The 15,544-nt window shown below is 46.1% G+C and overlaps 2 long non-coding RNA genes across 4 annotated transcripts in view; both read right to left on the bottom strand.

Annotated features, from left to right (window-relative positions):
* LINC01297-DUXAP10-NBEAP6 (LINC01297-DUXAP10-NBEAP6 readthrough) overlaps positions 1-15,544 on the bottom strand; it is a 115,486-nt gene that overhangs the window by 76,088 nt on the left and 23,854 nt on the right. The window lies entirely within an intron of this gene.
* LINC01297 (long intergenic non-protein coding RNA 1297) overlaps positions 1-15,544 on the bottom strand; it is a 39,960-nt gene that overhangs the window by 562 nt on the left and 23,854 nt on the right. The window lies entirely within an intron of this gene.

Consider the following 15,544-nt stretch of genomic DNA (forward strand, 5'->3'; position numbering starts at 1 on the left):
GCCACCTAGTGGCCAAAGTCAGGCAGTCGGCCCACAGCTGCAGGAGAGCTGCAACCCGCCCTTCAGCGGATTCCTGGAGGCTGCACAGTGCCCAGCTCCCGCCACCCGGTGCTCTGGGCGCGGGCAAATGACCCTCAGGCCGTCTGGGACCGGGCCAGCCCTGCAGCCTCAGCGGTGGGCTCAGAGACGGCTGCCACGTGCACACGGTGAACTATAGCAGCTGTGGCAGCCCCCGACCCTGTGCAAGCCACCGGCAGTGCAGACCCCATGACCAAAAGCCGCCGCGTCCCCTAACTCAGACGGTCGGCCCCCCAGCAGCCAGAGGGAGGAAACCTGCAGCTCAGCCCCATCCCAGCGCTTGCACTGTGCTCAGCGCCTGTAATCCCACTCTCTGGGCGCGGACGAGGAAGACTGGACCTTACGGTGGGAGGGCGGTGCACTCGGGGACCCTCAAGCCTTCTGGAACAAGCCCTGCCATCCTCCGCCGCGGGCTCAGCGGCAGCTGCCACCTGCACACTCCTGGAAGCAGCAGCGGTGGCAGCTCTGGTCTCTGCCAGCTCCAGCAGGAGCGCAGACTGTAGAGCCAGAAGTCACTGCAGCGCGTGTTAGGAGGTTGGCCTCTCAGCAGCAGGAGGGCAGGAATCTCCGCCCAACCAGATCCTCATGGCTGCACAGTGTCCAACGCCCACGACCCCGCAATCTGGGCGCTGGTCTAGGAATAACGGACCCTAGGGTGGAAAGGCGGTGCACTCACCCACCCTTGGGCAGCCTCAGGCCAGCCCTGCCAGCATCTGCCTTGGGCTCAGCTGCAGCTGGCGCCTGTGCATGGTGCACGGCAGTAGCAGTGGCAGCCCTGACCCTGCCCTCAGACACAAGCAGCAAAGACCCCAGGGCCGGACGCCTCCAAGGCACCTAAGTCAGGTGGCCGGTCCCATAGCTGCAAGAGGGCGGGAATCGGCTGCTCAGCCCCATAGCAGCTGTGGCAGCCCCCATCTCTGTCCATGCCACCAGTAGCACGAACCCCAGGGCCAGATAATGCGGTGGCGCCTAATTCAGACTGTAGCTGCGGCAAGGCGGGAATCGGCCGCTCAGCCCCATCCTGGAGGCTGCTCAGTGTCTAGCGCTCGCACACCACGTCCTGGGAGCAGTCTAAGGAACAGGAGACTCTAGGGTGGTAGGGCGGTGCACTCAGCGACCCTCAGGGTGTCTGGGACCAGCCCTGCCAGCCTCTGCCATGCTCTCAGCTGCAGCTACCATCGCCAGGTGGCGCCCGTTAGCAATGGTGGAAACCACACCCCCATCCCCCGACCTTGCCTGCCCCCAACAGCAGTGCAGATTCCATGGCTGGATGCCTTGCCAGGGCGGGAACCAGCCGCACAGCCTATTCTGGACAGCTGCACAGGGCCCAGCGCCCGAAACCCCGAGCTCTGGGCGCGTGCCAAGGAAGAGTGCACCCTAGGCTGGGAGGGTGGTGCACACCGCGATCCTCAGGCTTTCTGGGACAAACCCTGCCGACCTCTACTGAGAGCTCAGCTGCAGCTGCCACCTGTACAAGGGCACGACAGCAGCAGAGCAACCCGGCACTTTGCCTGCACCAGAGCCCTGACACCGGGGACAACGCAGCCTCAGCGCCTAATTCAGGCAGTCAGCCCCGCAGCTGCAGCAGGGCAGAAACCTTTGCCCTCGGCCCAGTCTCCTTGGCTGCACAGTTCCCAGTGCCCGCGACCCGGAACTCTGGGCTCAGGCAAAGGAACAGAGAACCCTAGGGTGGGATAGTGGTCCACTCAATGACCCTGAGGCTGCCTGGGAAACGCCTTGCCAGCCTCCGTCATGGGCTCAGCTGCAGCAGCCACCTGCACATGGCGGGGGAGCAGCCTTGATGGCAAACCCAGACCACGCTTTCACGCCAGCCAGGCGGACTCCAGGGCCAGGCGCCGCCCAGCGGCCAATTCAGGTGGTCCGGCCCCAGCTTCAGGAGGGCGGGAACCGGCAGCTCAGCCATTTCCTGGCGGCTGCCCTGTGCCCAGCCCCTGCACACCCTGATCTGGGCACCTACAAGAAAGAGCTGACTCTAGGGTGAAAGGGCCGTCCACTCAGCGACCCCCAGGCTGTCTGGGACCAGCCCTGCCTGCCTCTGCTGTAGATTCAGCTGCAGTGGTAACCTGCACAAGGCGCGCAGCAGCAGCTGTGGCAAATTCTGACCCTGCCAGCGCCACCAGCAGCGCGGACCCTTGGGCCAGAAGCCTCCACGACGCCTAAGTCAGGGGTGTTGGTCCCCAGCCGCAGGAGGGCAGAAACTGGCTCTCAGCCTCACCTCAGAGGCTGCATGGTGCCAGAGCCAGGGCCCAGCTCTTCTAGCGCAGGTTGTGGAGGGGCCAGGGGCCCCCCAGGCTGGAGAGGCTCCCCCAGGCTGGAGAGCAGCGTCATGAACACAGCTTACTGAAGCCTCAACCTCCCAGATTCAAGCTACCCTCTCATCTCAGCCTCCCAAGTAGCTGGTAGCTGGGACTACAGGCGGGTGCCATCATGCCTGGCTATTATATTTTACATACATTTTGGAGAGACAGGGTCTCACCATGTTGCCCAGGCAGATCTTGAAAGCCTGCAGTTCAAATGATCCTCTCACCTTGACCTCTCTCAGTGGTGGGATTATATGTGTGAGCCACTGTGCCCTACCTGCCGCTTTTCTTATAAGGATACTTGTCATTGGATTTAGGGCCCATCCTAATCATCTCAAGGTGCTGGATTTAATTACATCTGCAGATTGTTTTCCAAATAAAGGCACATTCACATGTTCCAGGTAGACATATCTTTTGATAGACCACCATGCAATCCACTCTAGGAATATTAAAGTGCCAGTGTGGACTGAGGCACCAAAGAATCACATTATGATGTCATATAACTTGCCTTATTTGTAGTGACCAGTGGGCTTGGAAACAACCATTTGCAGCTGTCAGGGAAGTGCACAGTGCCTGACCTTTCCCGCAGCCTCCTCCCCACTGGTCTTCCATGAGAGGATCAACCCTTGGAGTGTCCAGAGATTCCTGTTAAATGCGAAAGACCACAGGAGAGTTTGGGAGGGGGAAGATGTTTGGGGAGCAGCTTAGTTGTCCTGAGGTGCCCATCACCCTTCACCGTTTCAGCAATATGGATCTTCCAAGGATCTGGGAATGGGAACCAGGCATAAGACAGATACATGTGGATGAGAAGAGGCCAGAGTCTTTCTCTGTGTAGGCACCATGCAGCCCAAGATGAGCATTGCTCCAGAAACACATGCACTCATGATGCTAAACCCAATCTATTGAGGACTTAATACAAACTGCGATTTTTTTAAAGCATTTAATTCTTACCACAGTCCTTTGACATCTTATTATCTCCATTTTACAGATAAAGAAACAGGCACAGAGGGTTTAAGTAACTTGCACAAGGTCACACAATCACAACTAGTAAAGCCAGAATTAAAGTCCAGTCGGTCTGCATTCAAAGCCTGTGCTCCTGCCCCAAAGTGACAATTAGTGACTTAAAGGCAAGAAAAACAGACCCTCCTCTACCCACCATCCTCATACACAGCCTTCCAGCCCAGGATCTGAACCATTTATTCATTTTCTCTCATATTCATTCATTCATTCAATTCTTCATCACACATTTAGTGAAGCTCTGCCGTGGAATGTTCACACAGAAGGTACAAAAATGAGGCAGGTGTATTTTCTCCCATCTAACAGGGGATGACCACATGAAAAGAACTGGTGGCCTGTGTGTCCCATGGTCTTACAGGGCAGTGGTGGAGGGTGGCCCGGTCATCCACTTTCTGGGGAGGCAGAACCAGAAGCACCAGTTGGACAACTGCTAAAAAGATATTTATGCAGCCTCATATGTTAAGTCGTATATTTTGAAAGCTTTTTAAATTTTTTCTTTAAGAAGATTTTAGATGCTTATCACTGAGTACCAGAGGGATGTAGGCTGATGCCCTTATCAACAAAGTCAGGGACTGTGGCACACAAGGATTGACTACTGCAGACACGGTCACAATGCTACCTCTAGAGGGCCTGAATCCCCCTGCCCTCTCTGGTGGGGAGAAGGGCTGGCAGAGCCATTAGCATGGGCTCCGGCCAATCCTGGCCACTTTGACACTCCTGGTGCTGACCCAGGGTCCTGGAGGAAGGGATGAGGTGGGCAGTAGAGATGCTCAGGGCAGTGGCCCCTTTCCATCCACACTGGAACTATTTCAGTATTTTACCACCAATTCAGCCATTCCCTTGTGCGCTGGCTGAACATCAGCCCTGCTCCAGGTCTCAGTTTCCCCTTTGTAAAGGGAAAGCTCTGGATTCAGGAGTGATGAGAGGTCATCATGGTCTTGAGATTCCAGGCCTGTAGGCAGGGGGTGAGAGGTTCACTAGGACCACAGAAGGAAAAGGTTGGGGAGAGGCAGCAGAGAGAGTGGCTTCCCTTCGGCCCAGGTGGGAGGTTCACAGAGGCAAACTTCCTTCTTCCTCAAGGCAGGACTTGTTACAGTGAGCTTCAGGCAGTCTGGCTCTTAGGACTAACTGGGATGTCACCCTCCCTGCAGCATCCACTCCACAGACAACATGAGAGGAGTGTATAAGTATAACTAGGAACAGGCTAGTGTCCTGATATTCTCTGTGATGGAGGGGACAGCCCTCCTCAGAGACGTGGGGGAGCCCAGAACCATGGGCAGCCTGAACACACCTTACTTTCTCAGCAGTGACAATCAGAACCTTGGCCTACTAAAGCAGAAATTAAAAAGAGAAAAACCTAAGTTCTGGCCTGTTCCAGGCTGACTCAGTCCAAGGCCCTGCTAGGACTAAGATAACTTTATATACAAGGCCAGAAGAGCCCAGAAGGAATGGACTCCAGGAACAGGGATGAGAAAAACAAGTTCTTATCAGCTTCCCCCTTTGAGATTCTTTCCCAGGCCAATATTTCTTTGCTCTGCTCTCATAACTATTTTTGTAACTATTTCTGTAAGTTTGTAAGGATTTTTTAAGTTCCTGTTTTCCATCGGTGTGACCCTGAGAAGGTCACAAGACATGCCTGTGCAAGCCTAAAACAGTTGCCATCTGCTGAGAGCCTGCTGGGTGGCCCAGCAGAGGTCACCAGACATGTTTGAGTCATACACTTGTCACTGTTTGATTAACTGCCTTTGTTCTGCTTCTGTAAGCTTGCTAAGCCTGCCCTGTAAGTTTTGCAAAGCTGCATGCTTAAAAAACAGGCCCCATCTTTTTTCCGGGCTCAGCCTTTTGGATGCAAATCCACTGGGCAAGTGGTCACTTTAATAAAATCCTCCTGTCTCACCCATTGGTCTCTCCAGTCTCTTGACTCCCTCAACACTGAGACGGCTCCAAGATAGCATGTGAGATTTAAGTAATAACTTTTTTGTTTGTTTGTTTGTTTTTATTTTTGTATGAGACTGGGTCTGGCTTTTTCACCCAGGCTGAAGTGCAGTGGTGCAGTCACAGCTCACTGCAGCCACTTCCTGGGCTCAAGCCACCCTCCCACCTCAGCTTCCCAGGTAACTTAGGACTACAGGTGTATACCACTATCATTGGCTAATTTTTGTATTTTTTCCAGAGACGAGGTCTCACTGTCTCACTGAGCTCAGGCTGGTCTCAAATTCTTGAGCTCAAGAGATTTACCAGTCTCAGCCTTCCAAAGTGCTAGGATTACAGGCATGAGACACTGTGCCTGGCCAGTAATTTTGTTTTATTATATTAAGGTCAGGTTTATACCACCTTCTTCTGATTACAGAAGTAATACATGCTCATTATATAACACTGAAAATGTAAGCAGTATAAAGAAGAAAATAAAAAAGAATATGAAAATCACTAGTGGTCCCATTGCCTACCGATACACTATGTGCTGCTTTCTAATCTTTACTTCCTCTCCCTCCATGTGTGTCTTTGTGTGTGTGTGTGTGTCTGTCTGTGTGGTTTTTTTTTTGGCACATAGGACAATAGCTGACATTTTTAGCTCCCCTACCAGTGTTGAGCATTATGTCAAGCAATTGAAAAAGTGTATTTTAACTCCTACAGAAAACCTATAAAGGGGAAGGGCAGTATAATTAACAGAATTTTCCAGATGAAAAGACTGGGACCTGACTTCAGGTCACATTTTATATACAGCATTGCATTTTACTTCAGACACTTAACAAAGTAAGTGTCCTGGAGAATCTTGGTCTGTTAGTCTATATAATTACATAAGCATCTTTTGTGGGATTAATAGTTTTTCCAAAGCATGCCTGGAATGCTTGCATAACATTTTAGAGTTTAAATATGTTGTTTATCGCCAGGCACGGTGTCTCACACCTGTAATCCCAGCATTTTGGGAATCTGAGGAAGGTGGATTGCCTGAGCTCAGGAGTTTGACACCAGCCTAGCCAACACGGTGAAACCCCATCTCTACTAAAATACAAAAAAATAGCCAGGCATGGTGGGGTGTGCCTGTATTCCCAGCTACTTGGGAGGCTGAGGCAGGAGAAGTGCTTGAATCTGGAAGGTGGAGGTTGTGGTAAGCCGAGATTGCACCACTGCACCCCAGCCTGGGCAAGAGTGAGACCTTGTCTCAAAAAAAAAATAATTTTATCAAACCATTTTCATCTTTGAAACATTTTAGGTCTCCTCTTTGGCTTTTTCACATTATAAATAATACTGTGATAAACATCCTTCAGCAGAAACCTTCATAGGCTAGCTTCCTAGAAGTAGAGGTATTAGGTCCAAGGTTGTGAATTGTTTTAAAGCTATTGATTTTTCTGGATAAAATTGCTTCCAGATATATTGTCCCGTTGCATTGCAATCAGTGGATCTCACCTTCAGTATTTTGTGCAAAAAAAAAGAATGTTTCTCCTTTTAAAGATTATATTTAAAATAGCTTTCAAATATTAAAAATTTGTATCTACAAATAAGAGACAGTGAAAAAAATAATAAAAGAAACACAAAAGTAGAAAGTAGATGAAAACATTAAAATTCAGATCACAGCCCTCTGTCATGGAGAAGACAGCTGCAATAGCTTTTTTGTTCTTTTATCTATCCTTGATACATTTTTCTTTTAATTAATTTTTACCCCAACTTTTAGTGCTGGCTGAGTTGTCGATTTGTTGCTGGGATGGAAAGAAGAAATTTGCACCTTGTCCTTTGCAGGTTATGAGAGCCCTGTCTGTCCTCGTGGTTATGTGGATGTCTTTTAGATTATTGTGAATATTGAGCTTTGAAAATAACCTAACAGTCAATCAATTGCTGAGATTCTATTACCAGTAGTGGGACACAATGTACATCATGTAGAGAGGCAGACTCGTCGCTGACAAAAGGGCTGACCCCTGGAAAACCAGCACAGAGCCAGCTCTTCTGTCTGAATCCACTCTCTCCAAAACATAACATAAGTCATGGAAAGAAATGAGTCTCAAGAAATGAGACTCTTACCATGATGAGAGGGGGACATTGAAAAGCTACTTTAGTGATTAGGGAGAGAAGTCCCCTTTTGCATCCCAAATCAAGCAGAGGACTGGTAGTCCAAATATAATTTTGGAATAACCTGAGTCACCTGGGCCTTGAGGAATCCTGGCCTCTTAGTCCACATTTGCAGAAATATCAGGAGGTCAATCAGGAAGCTGTTTAGGCATCTCAACACAGGGTCAAAAAGCTCCTAGGTACGCAAATAAATGTGCACACTGGAAATTGAGTTCAGTAATTTTTCCATGGCCTAGAGAACTATGATGATGAAAATGTTCTACATTTGTGCTGGCCAGTTCAGTAGCCACTAGCCACATGTGGCTATTGAGTAACTGAAATGTGGCTAGTACAACTGACCAACTAAATTGTAAATTTTGTTTTCTTTGAATTAATTTTAATTTTAATAGTCATCTGTGGCTATTGGATACTGTACTGGGTAGCACAGAGATGAGAAATAATAGAAACCTTTTTGTTCGGTTGTTTCAAGAGCTAACATTGTCAAAAGCTCAATTCCTGTTTTATGTAAGGTTTTGGTTTATATTTTCTCAAAGAAGTGAAGTACAGAAAAAAGAAAACAAAACAAAAGGATGATCAAGCAGAACTTTGGTAAGGAAGGGTGAAGCAGAGATACTTAACTCAGGGTGGGGACAACAGCAATGACCTTGTTTGAAATGCAGCTCCTGTCTCTGTGGCTCTCTGTGCTCTGCTGGGGCATCAGTTCCTTTACTTCTTAGTTAAAGCAGTTATGTCGATGGTGCAATGCTTTTTTGGTGCAATGATTTTTTACACAGCTGGTTTATCTCCAGTATGGAAGCTCTCTGCTTAATCATCTTGATTTTTCTGGGCTTGTTCCCACTCTGCAGATGTAAGCATGACACCTGTATCTCTCTCCCCAGGCTCTGATCTAGGACGACAGTTTCTATGATGTGCCCATCTAGAGAAATACTCAAATTGCAACTTTAGGAAGAGAAAAAGAGGGCCCTGCAAAAGGCATCTACAGGCCCCATGTGCTGTTCACCTTTCTTATTTATGGGTGAAGTGAGTCCTCATCCATTTATTGGGCAGTTACAAGCAAAGGAATTATATGACTACGACAACACACCTTGAGGTACAACAATTTTGTCTGTTTTGAGTTTCCACTGTTGAAAAAAACCTAGTTATTCTAATTAAGAATAGTTATAGATAGTACAGTGATAACATTTTTTTTGAGACAGGCTCTTGCTCTGTCCCCAGATTGGAATGCAGCAGCATGATCATGGCTCACTGCAGCCTCAACCTCCCTGGGCTCAGTGATTCTCCCACCTCAGTCTCCTGAGTAACTGGGAATGCAACACATGCCACCATGCCTAAATATTTTTTGGATTTTGTTTTCTTTTGTAGAGATGGGGCTTTGCCATGTCACCTAGGCTGGTATTGACCTTCTGGACTCAAGTGATCCTCTCTCCTCAGCCTCCCAAAGTGCTAGGATTACAGGTGTGAACCAGCATGCCATGCCTATAGTGATATCTTTAAGTAAGCCTCTCCTATCTTCTTTTGAGCAGTTTTTCAAAGCAACAGGCACCTTATTAAATTAGAAAGTTGATGTGTTTCCCGAATGCCTGCTAATAAAGTAGAGAACTAAAGAACCTCTGTGATTTCAATGAAGTCCATTCAGATGTTATGGGCTACTTGTTACTGACAAGTATGGTAGGAAATGTAGGTCAAGCTGTCATAGGCAAATAGATCTTGCTGAAGAGGAAGAATTATTGGCTAAGATAACACCCTAGAACACCTGGCATACTTTAGACACAGCTAAATTGAATGCTTTCTGAGGAGGAGTGTATTAATCTGTTCTCACACTGCTATAAAGATATACATGAGAGTGGGTAATTGAAAAAGAAAAGGGATTGAATTGGCTCACAGTTCTGTGGGCTGTACAGACTTATGCTTATAGGGAGGCCTCAGGAAACTTACAATCATGGCAGAAGGTGAAAAGGAGGCAAGCACATATTCACATGGCTGAAAAGAGTCAGGGGAGGTGCTACACACTTTTTAAACAAGCAGATCTCAGGAGAACTTTATCATCAGACAGCACGAGGTGGATGAGGCTAAACCATTAGAAACCACCTCTATGATCCAGTCACCTTCCAGCAAGCCCCTCCTCCAACACTGACAATTACAATTCCATATGAGATTGGGGGTGGGGGGTGCACAAATCCAAACCATGTCAAGAAGCATTTTAAAAATTGAGGGAAGTTCTAATCAGATAGCAATTCAGGACAGGGCATTTCATCAGCATAACACTCCTCTCAATACATGCCAAAATGGGAAAAAGGAAAAATTGCAAGGACGAAGATGGGACACAGCAAAATGACAAGATGACTAACAAGATGACCCCTGTGGAAAGCATTTACTGATTCAAAAACCAAATAATGAAGAAAATAAGAGCAAATTTGCTGAGTTTATATGCTCTTTATGCTTATTAGGGAAGGGCAGAAGCCAGCCCCTCAACATTGTTATTATTAATTAACATCATCACCACCTGCTCTTAAGTGTCTAGATACTTTCTAGAATCTAGTATTATCTTCACTCAAATGTTTTTTGGATATGCCCTTCGTGCATGTGATACTGCAAAAACATTCTACATTAGCCACAGCAAGATGGCTATGTAATAATTGGGATCACTTTAGGGGAGGCTATTTGTACCACATTTTGAGACAGAAAATGAAGTAAAGATGTCCATTTGTCAATTTCTTCTACGTTATGTCAAACATTCAAAGAGCTTATTTTATTTATTTCAAAGATATATACATGTTGAAATTAAAATTTAAATTAAGAAAATTTATAAACTGAGTCAAAAGAAAAGTAAGTGAGGCAGTTGGTTAATGTGTCGGTTAATGCCACCATAGTTCTGCATGCCCTGGAAGTGTCAGGCATAAACAACTCTAAAGTATTCGGCATGCAGCCAGGTGTGGCAACTCATGCTGTCATTCCAGGACGTTGAGAGGCTAAGGCAGGTGGGTTGCTTGAGCTCAGAACTTTCAGACCAAGCAAGGCCACATGGTGGAACCCCGTCTCTATGAAAAATATGAAAATTAGCCAAGCATGGTGGTGCCCGCTTTTAGTACCAGCTACTGGAAAGGCTGAGACGATCATTTGACCCCAGGAGGTTGAGGCTGCAGTAAGCTCTGGTTGCACCACTGCACTCCAGCCTGGGTGAAAGAGGGAAACCCTCTGCCCAGGACTCTTGGGATATGACTATATCCATAGGGACTGCCCGCAGTAACCTCACATTTGAGTGGAAGTGGAGATCGTATGTACCTACACCAATATGTAGCAAAAAAGAAAAACAGAAATGATAGCAGAAATGGCCCAAAGAATAAAAGAAGGTGGGGGTAATTGAGAGAGGCTTTCTGCTGATAAAATTTGAACTGATTTCTGGAGAATGGGTTTAATTCCAATAGGGGGAGATGGACCAAATTTAATTTTGATGAGGGAAATGTCTTGAGCAAAATCTAGAAAAGGAAAATATGCCCATTTTAAGTTTTAATGAGTGGTCCAGTTGGGGTACAGTGCAAGAAGAGAGTTCTAGTGAAAAGGTAGTTGGTCTGATAGGTCAGGGTCTTGCAGGCAGAGGCAGATACTATCATTATTCTGTTTTTCAGATTGGAAAACAGACACAGAGAGTCCAAGGTCACAAAGACAGAAAGGGAATCTGGGCAGTCTAGCAGTAGCACCCTCTTCTAAAATGATCCGTTAAAGGGCCTCTTCTCCAGGCACTCTAAAACCCTTCTCCATCTTTAGTTCCCCAGAGTACAGTGAGGCCCCCTGTCTACCTCACAGGACGGGGTCTCAGAAAAGCAACAGATCCCAACTCATACTAGCTTTTAAATAAAAAAATTTATAACCTTGCAAAACAAGAAGTGCAGAGGTTGGGCAAGAGCCAGCCCTGGTTCATTCAGCAGCTCAACAATAAATCCAAGGACCTGGGTATTGGTTCACCTCTCCACACCACCGTCCTCATGGGCCAGCTTCTACCTCCTCCTGAATACTGTGTCTTTGCCTAGTTTTCTCCCTGATTTTGGCTCAATTGCTGCTTCCTGGAGGCATCCTTTCCTGCCTCTGTCTTGGGGTCAGTCTGCCTTCGCAGGCTCTTGCAGCACACCTGGGTCTGCTGCACTTTCCCTTATTACATAATTTTGTGACTAATGTCAGCTCTTTCTGTTAGATTCTAAGCTCCACTAGGGAAGAAATTCTGTGCATTTTTGATCACTATTGAACCCTGGAGTCTACCACTCAAATATTTGTCAAATGAGTAAATGGTAGCTCTGTGCAGGGCCAAGGAACCCAAGAACCACAAGAAATAATCTGCCAAAATAGTCATTACAGCTCACTCTCCTCTGGTGACATTTCCCTGAGGCACATTGCTGTTGGTTTCTTCCCCTCAAGAAGCATTCTTCTTTCTCCTTCCTATAAAAGCCAGGTTTTTCTCAGATAGCCACACCATGCCCCATGCAAAGAGATTTGGATTATTATACCATCTTGAAGCATTTCTGTGGAAACTGCTATCAGCCAGGTGGCCCATGACCTAAGTTGACCCAAGCCGACTGAAGGGAGGATGTATTCTATGCACCGTATGGAATTCCACAGGGTGCTGGTTTCCCCAGCTGCTGCTGGTGGTCATCATGTAGTGAAGATATTTCTTTTTTCAGCATAGGCCTCAAAGGGTTCCAAATATCCACTTGCAGATTCTACAAAAAGACGGTTTCCAAACTGCTCAATCAAAAGAAAGTTTCAACTCTGTGAGAAGAAAGCACACATCACAAAGAAGTTTCTCAGAAAGTTTCTGTCTAGTTTTCATGTGAAGATATTTCCTCTTTCCCCTTAGGCCTCAATGGGCTAACAAATATCCCTTTGCAGATTCTACAAAACGACGGTTTCCAAACTGCTCAATCAAAAGAAATGTTCAATTCTGTGAGATGAATGCACACATCACAAAGAAGTTTCTCAGAATGCTTCTGTCTAGTTTTTATGTGAAGATATTCCCTTTTCCACCACAGGCCTCAAAGCGCTCCAAATATCCACTCGCGGTTTCTGCAAAAAGAGTGTTTCAAAACTTCTCAATCAAAAGAAAGGTTCAACTCTGTGAGATGAATGCACACATCACAAAGAAGTTTCTCAGAATGCTTCTGTCTAGTTTTTACGTGAAGTTATTTCCTTTTCCACCATAGGCCTCAAAGCACTCCAATTATCCACTTGCAGATTCTACAAAAAGAGTGTTTCAAAACTGCTCAATCAAAAGAAAGCTTCAACTCTGTGAGATGAATGCACACATCACAACGAAGTTTCTCAGAATGCTTCTGTCTAGTTTTTAAGTAAAGATATTTCCTTTTTCACCATAGGCCTCAAAGTGCTCCAAATATCCATTTGCAGATACTACAAAAAGACTGTTTCCAAACTGCTCAATCAAAAGAAAGGTTCAACTCTGTGAGATGAAAGCACATATCACAAAGAAGTTTCCCAGAAAGTTTCTGTCTAGTTTTTATGTGAAGATATTTCCTATTGCCCCATTGGCCACAATGGTCTCACAAATGTCCCTTTGCAGATTCTACTAAACGACTGTTTACAAACTGCTCAATGAAAAGAAATATTCAACTCTGTGAGATGAAAGCACACATCACAAAGAAGTTTCTCAGAATGTCATGTAACCAAGGTATTGCTAGTGCTTATGGAGAAAATAGAGCAAGTGGAGAGAAACTGAGTAGGTAAAAGTGGACAGGGCTTGGTGATGTTTGGGATATGAGGGATAAGACAGAGGATGGTCTTAGGAAAATCTCCTGTTCTTTCTTTTTGGACAATGGTATAGAGGAATAAAAGTTCCAATCACTGGGATAGAAAACACTTGGAAAATATGAGATTCATCCAGGCGAGTCTTTCATAAACTATTCCATAATCAGTTTTATAAGTGAAAGGGAGTCAGAACTCATCTCAACCTCGTTTGCTTCTATCATACTGCGTTGTACCCTGTTGGATCTACTTATCATATTCTTCCTGGTAGCAGACTTACCTACTAATGTTTGCACTTACTCCTTGCCGGCCTGGAAGCTCTGAGGCAGCAGGAGCAGTGTGTGTGCCCACGTGTGTGTGCACTTTCTTGGGTGTGTGTGTGTCTGTGTAATTGGATTCCCCACAGCACATTATTGTTTTATCCATAGTAAATGGTGGATGAATATTTGCAGTATTTAACTGGACTGCAGCATTGTGGAGGTCAGATAACCACATTTTGATAGACAAGTTGCATTCTAACCTTGAAGCAAACAAAATGCCCATCTTATCAGCCTCCCTCACACTGGCTGTGCCTTTCCTTTGTGGTTGTATGTTTAAAGAGCTCATCCAACAAGCTTCTTAAAAAGGGGATTGGACCTTTGCCAGCCTCTGGCTGCATGGCAGGTTGACTGTGTCTTTGAATATCCCTGATGGAAGCTGGTCATCCTTTTGTCTTTGGGTGAATAGACTACTCAGGAAGGCAGGGATGAATGCACCCCCCACCCTGCTTTCTTGTTAACGAGTTTGCCATTTATTTTGGCAGATCTGAAATAGTATTTCAAAGGCAGTGCAGAAGCAGATGGGGACATTACTTGTAATTGTTTAATACTGTTATGACATGACATTTGCTTACAGAAAGAGAGGCAAGCCACCATCTTCAAGGGAGGGCATAGTCATCGACTGTGATCCTGGTGTCCATGTTGGAATATCATGGCAACTATCTCCCAGCACTGGACTTGATTACTTCTACTGCATTCCCAGTGATAGCTGAGTTGCTTAATTTACTTTCTTCAACACCGTTTGTGAAAGGGAAGCTAGAAAACTGCACTATGTATGGCTTAGTGCACTGAAAATTTGACGTTATCAAAGGAGCCATGATCTCGTCTTTCTCTATCCCTCTTCAAATGTTTTCTATAATTATATTCAAAGGCTCATGGGTCTTACCATGGGTCATCGAGGAAGGGCTGGTAACTCTTTAAACCACAGGTAAAATATTACAAACATCTGAAACCTGCATTTTTACAGGTGAGAGAAATGAGGCCAGAAAAGTTAAGTGCATCATGTTGAATACAATTTTATTTGGTGATCAGGCAGCCCTGGGTTCAAATCCTGGCTCGATTGCTACCAATTAAGCCACTTAACTCCATCTGAGCCTCAGGTTGTCCATCTGCGTAATAAGCAGTAATAGCAGCTATCCTGTAGGACTACTGTGAGAATTACAACTCAGGCAATGACCATGATATTTCTTGGCACAGAGGTGTTCACTACTTAGGTAGTGTTATTATGATGTCTAAAGTCACAAAGGGAGTTTTTGAGAAAGCTGGAATGAAAACTTGTTTCTCTCAACTCTGACCTTATTAGAGCACACTGTTGCTTGAATAAAGCAGCCCTGCAGTCTCACAGTGGAGGGTGTTTGTAACATCTGCTCAGGCACGGTTTCATTTACTATATACCCAGAGACTAGCACTGTACAAGTTGTGGGGAGATACTCATGTGAGTTGGTGGACATTTGGTCAAATATTTTCCCTAAACCCAGGTCTCTATGGCATTCTACAGAACACTCTGCATCCTTCTAAGGGACACTCGAAGAGCAAATGGATTGTACAGTGAGTTACAAATAAAATGGCCAATCTCAGCATGAAAGACTGAGGGTGTTACCTGAATGAGGATGCAGACCCTCCATCTACATATAAGCAAACCTAGGTGACCATGAGCCTGCCAGAAAGAAATCACATGCTATGTAAAGGCTTAGTAACAGTGATGAATATCTGAACTTGAAATCCAGCTCCAGAGCAGTTCAGTGGCCTCTCTTCCAGGAACAGAAGCCAAAGCAGCTCAGGATTCTTGAAGGCTCTGAAAGGTCAGTGAGAATCCTGGTATATGTTAAGACTTTCCCACCAAAGAAGGGCTCCGTGTGTAGAGACTGAAAAAGGATTCCCAACTTTGGTCCCTTCAAAACCAGAAACAAAGGTGGGGGATAGCCCAATTAAGTGGCCCTAGAGATTTGCCCAGGAGCTGGAGCCTTCCGGAGAAGTCCAGTTTTCCTATGCAGGGAG

Source organism: Homo sapiens, chromosome 14 (genome assembly GCF_000001405.40).
Source record: "Homo sapiens chromosome 14, GRCh38.p14 Primary Assembly".
NCBI lineage: Eukaryota > Metazoa > Chordata > Mammalia > Primates > Hominidae > Homo > Homo sapiens.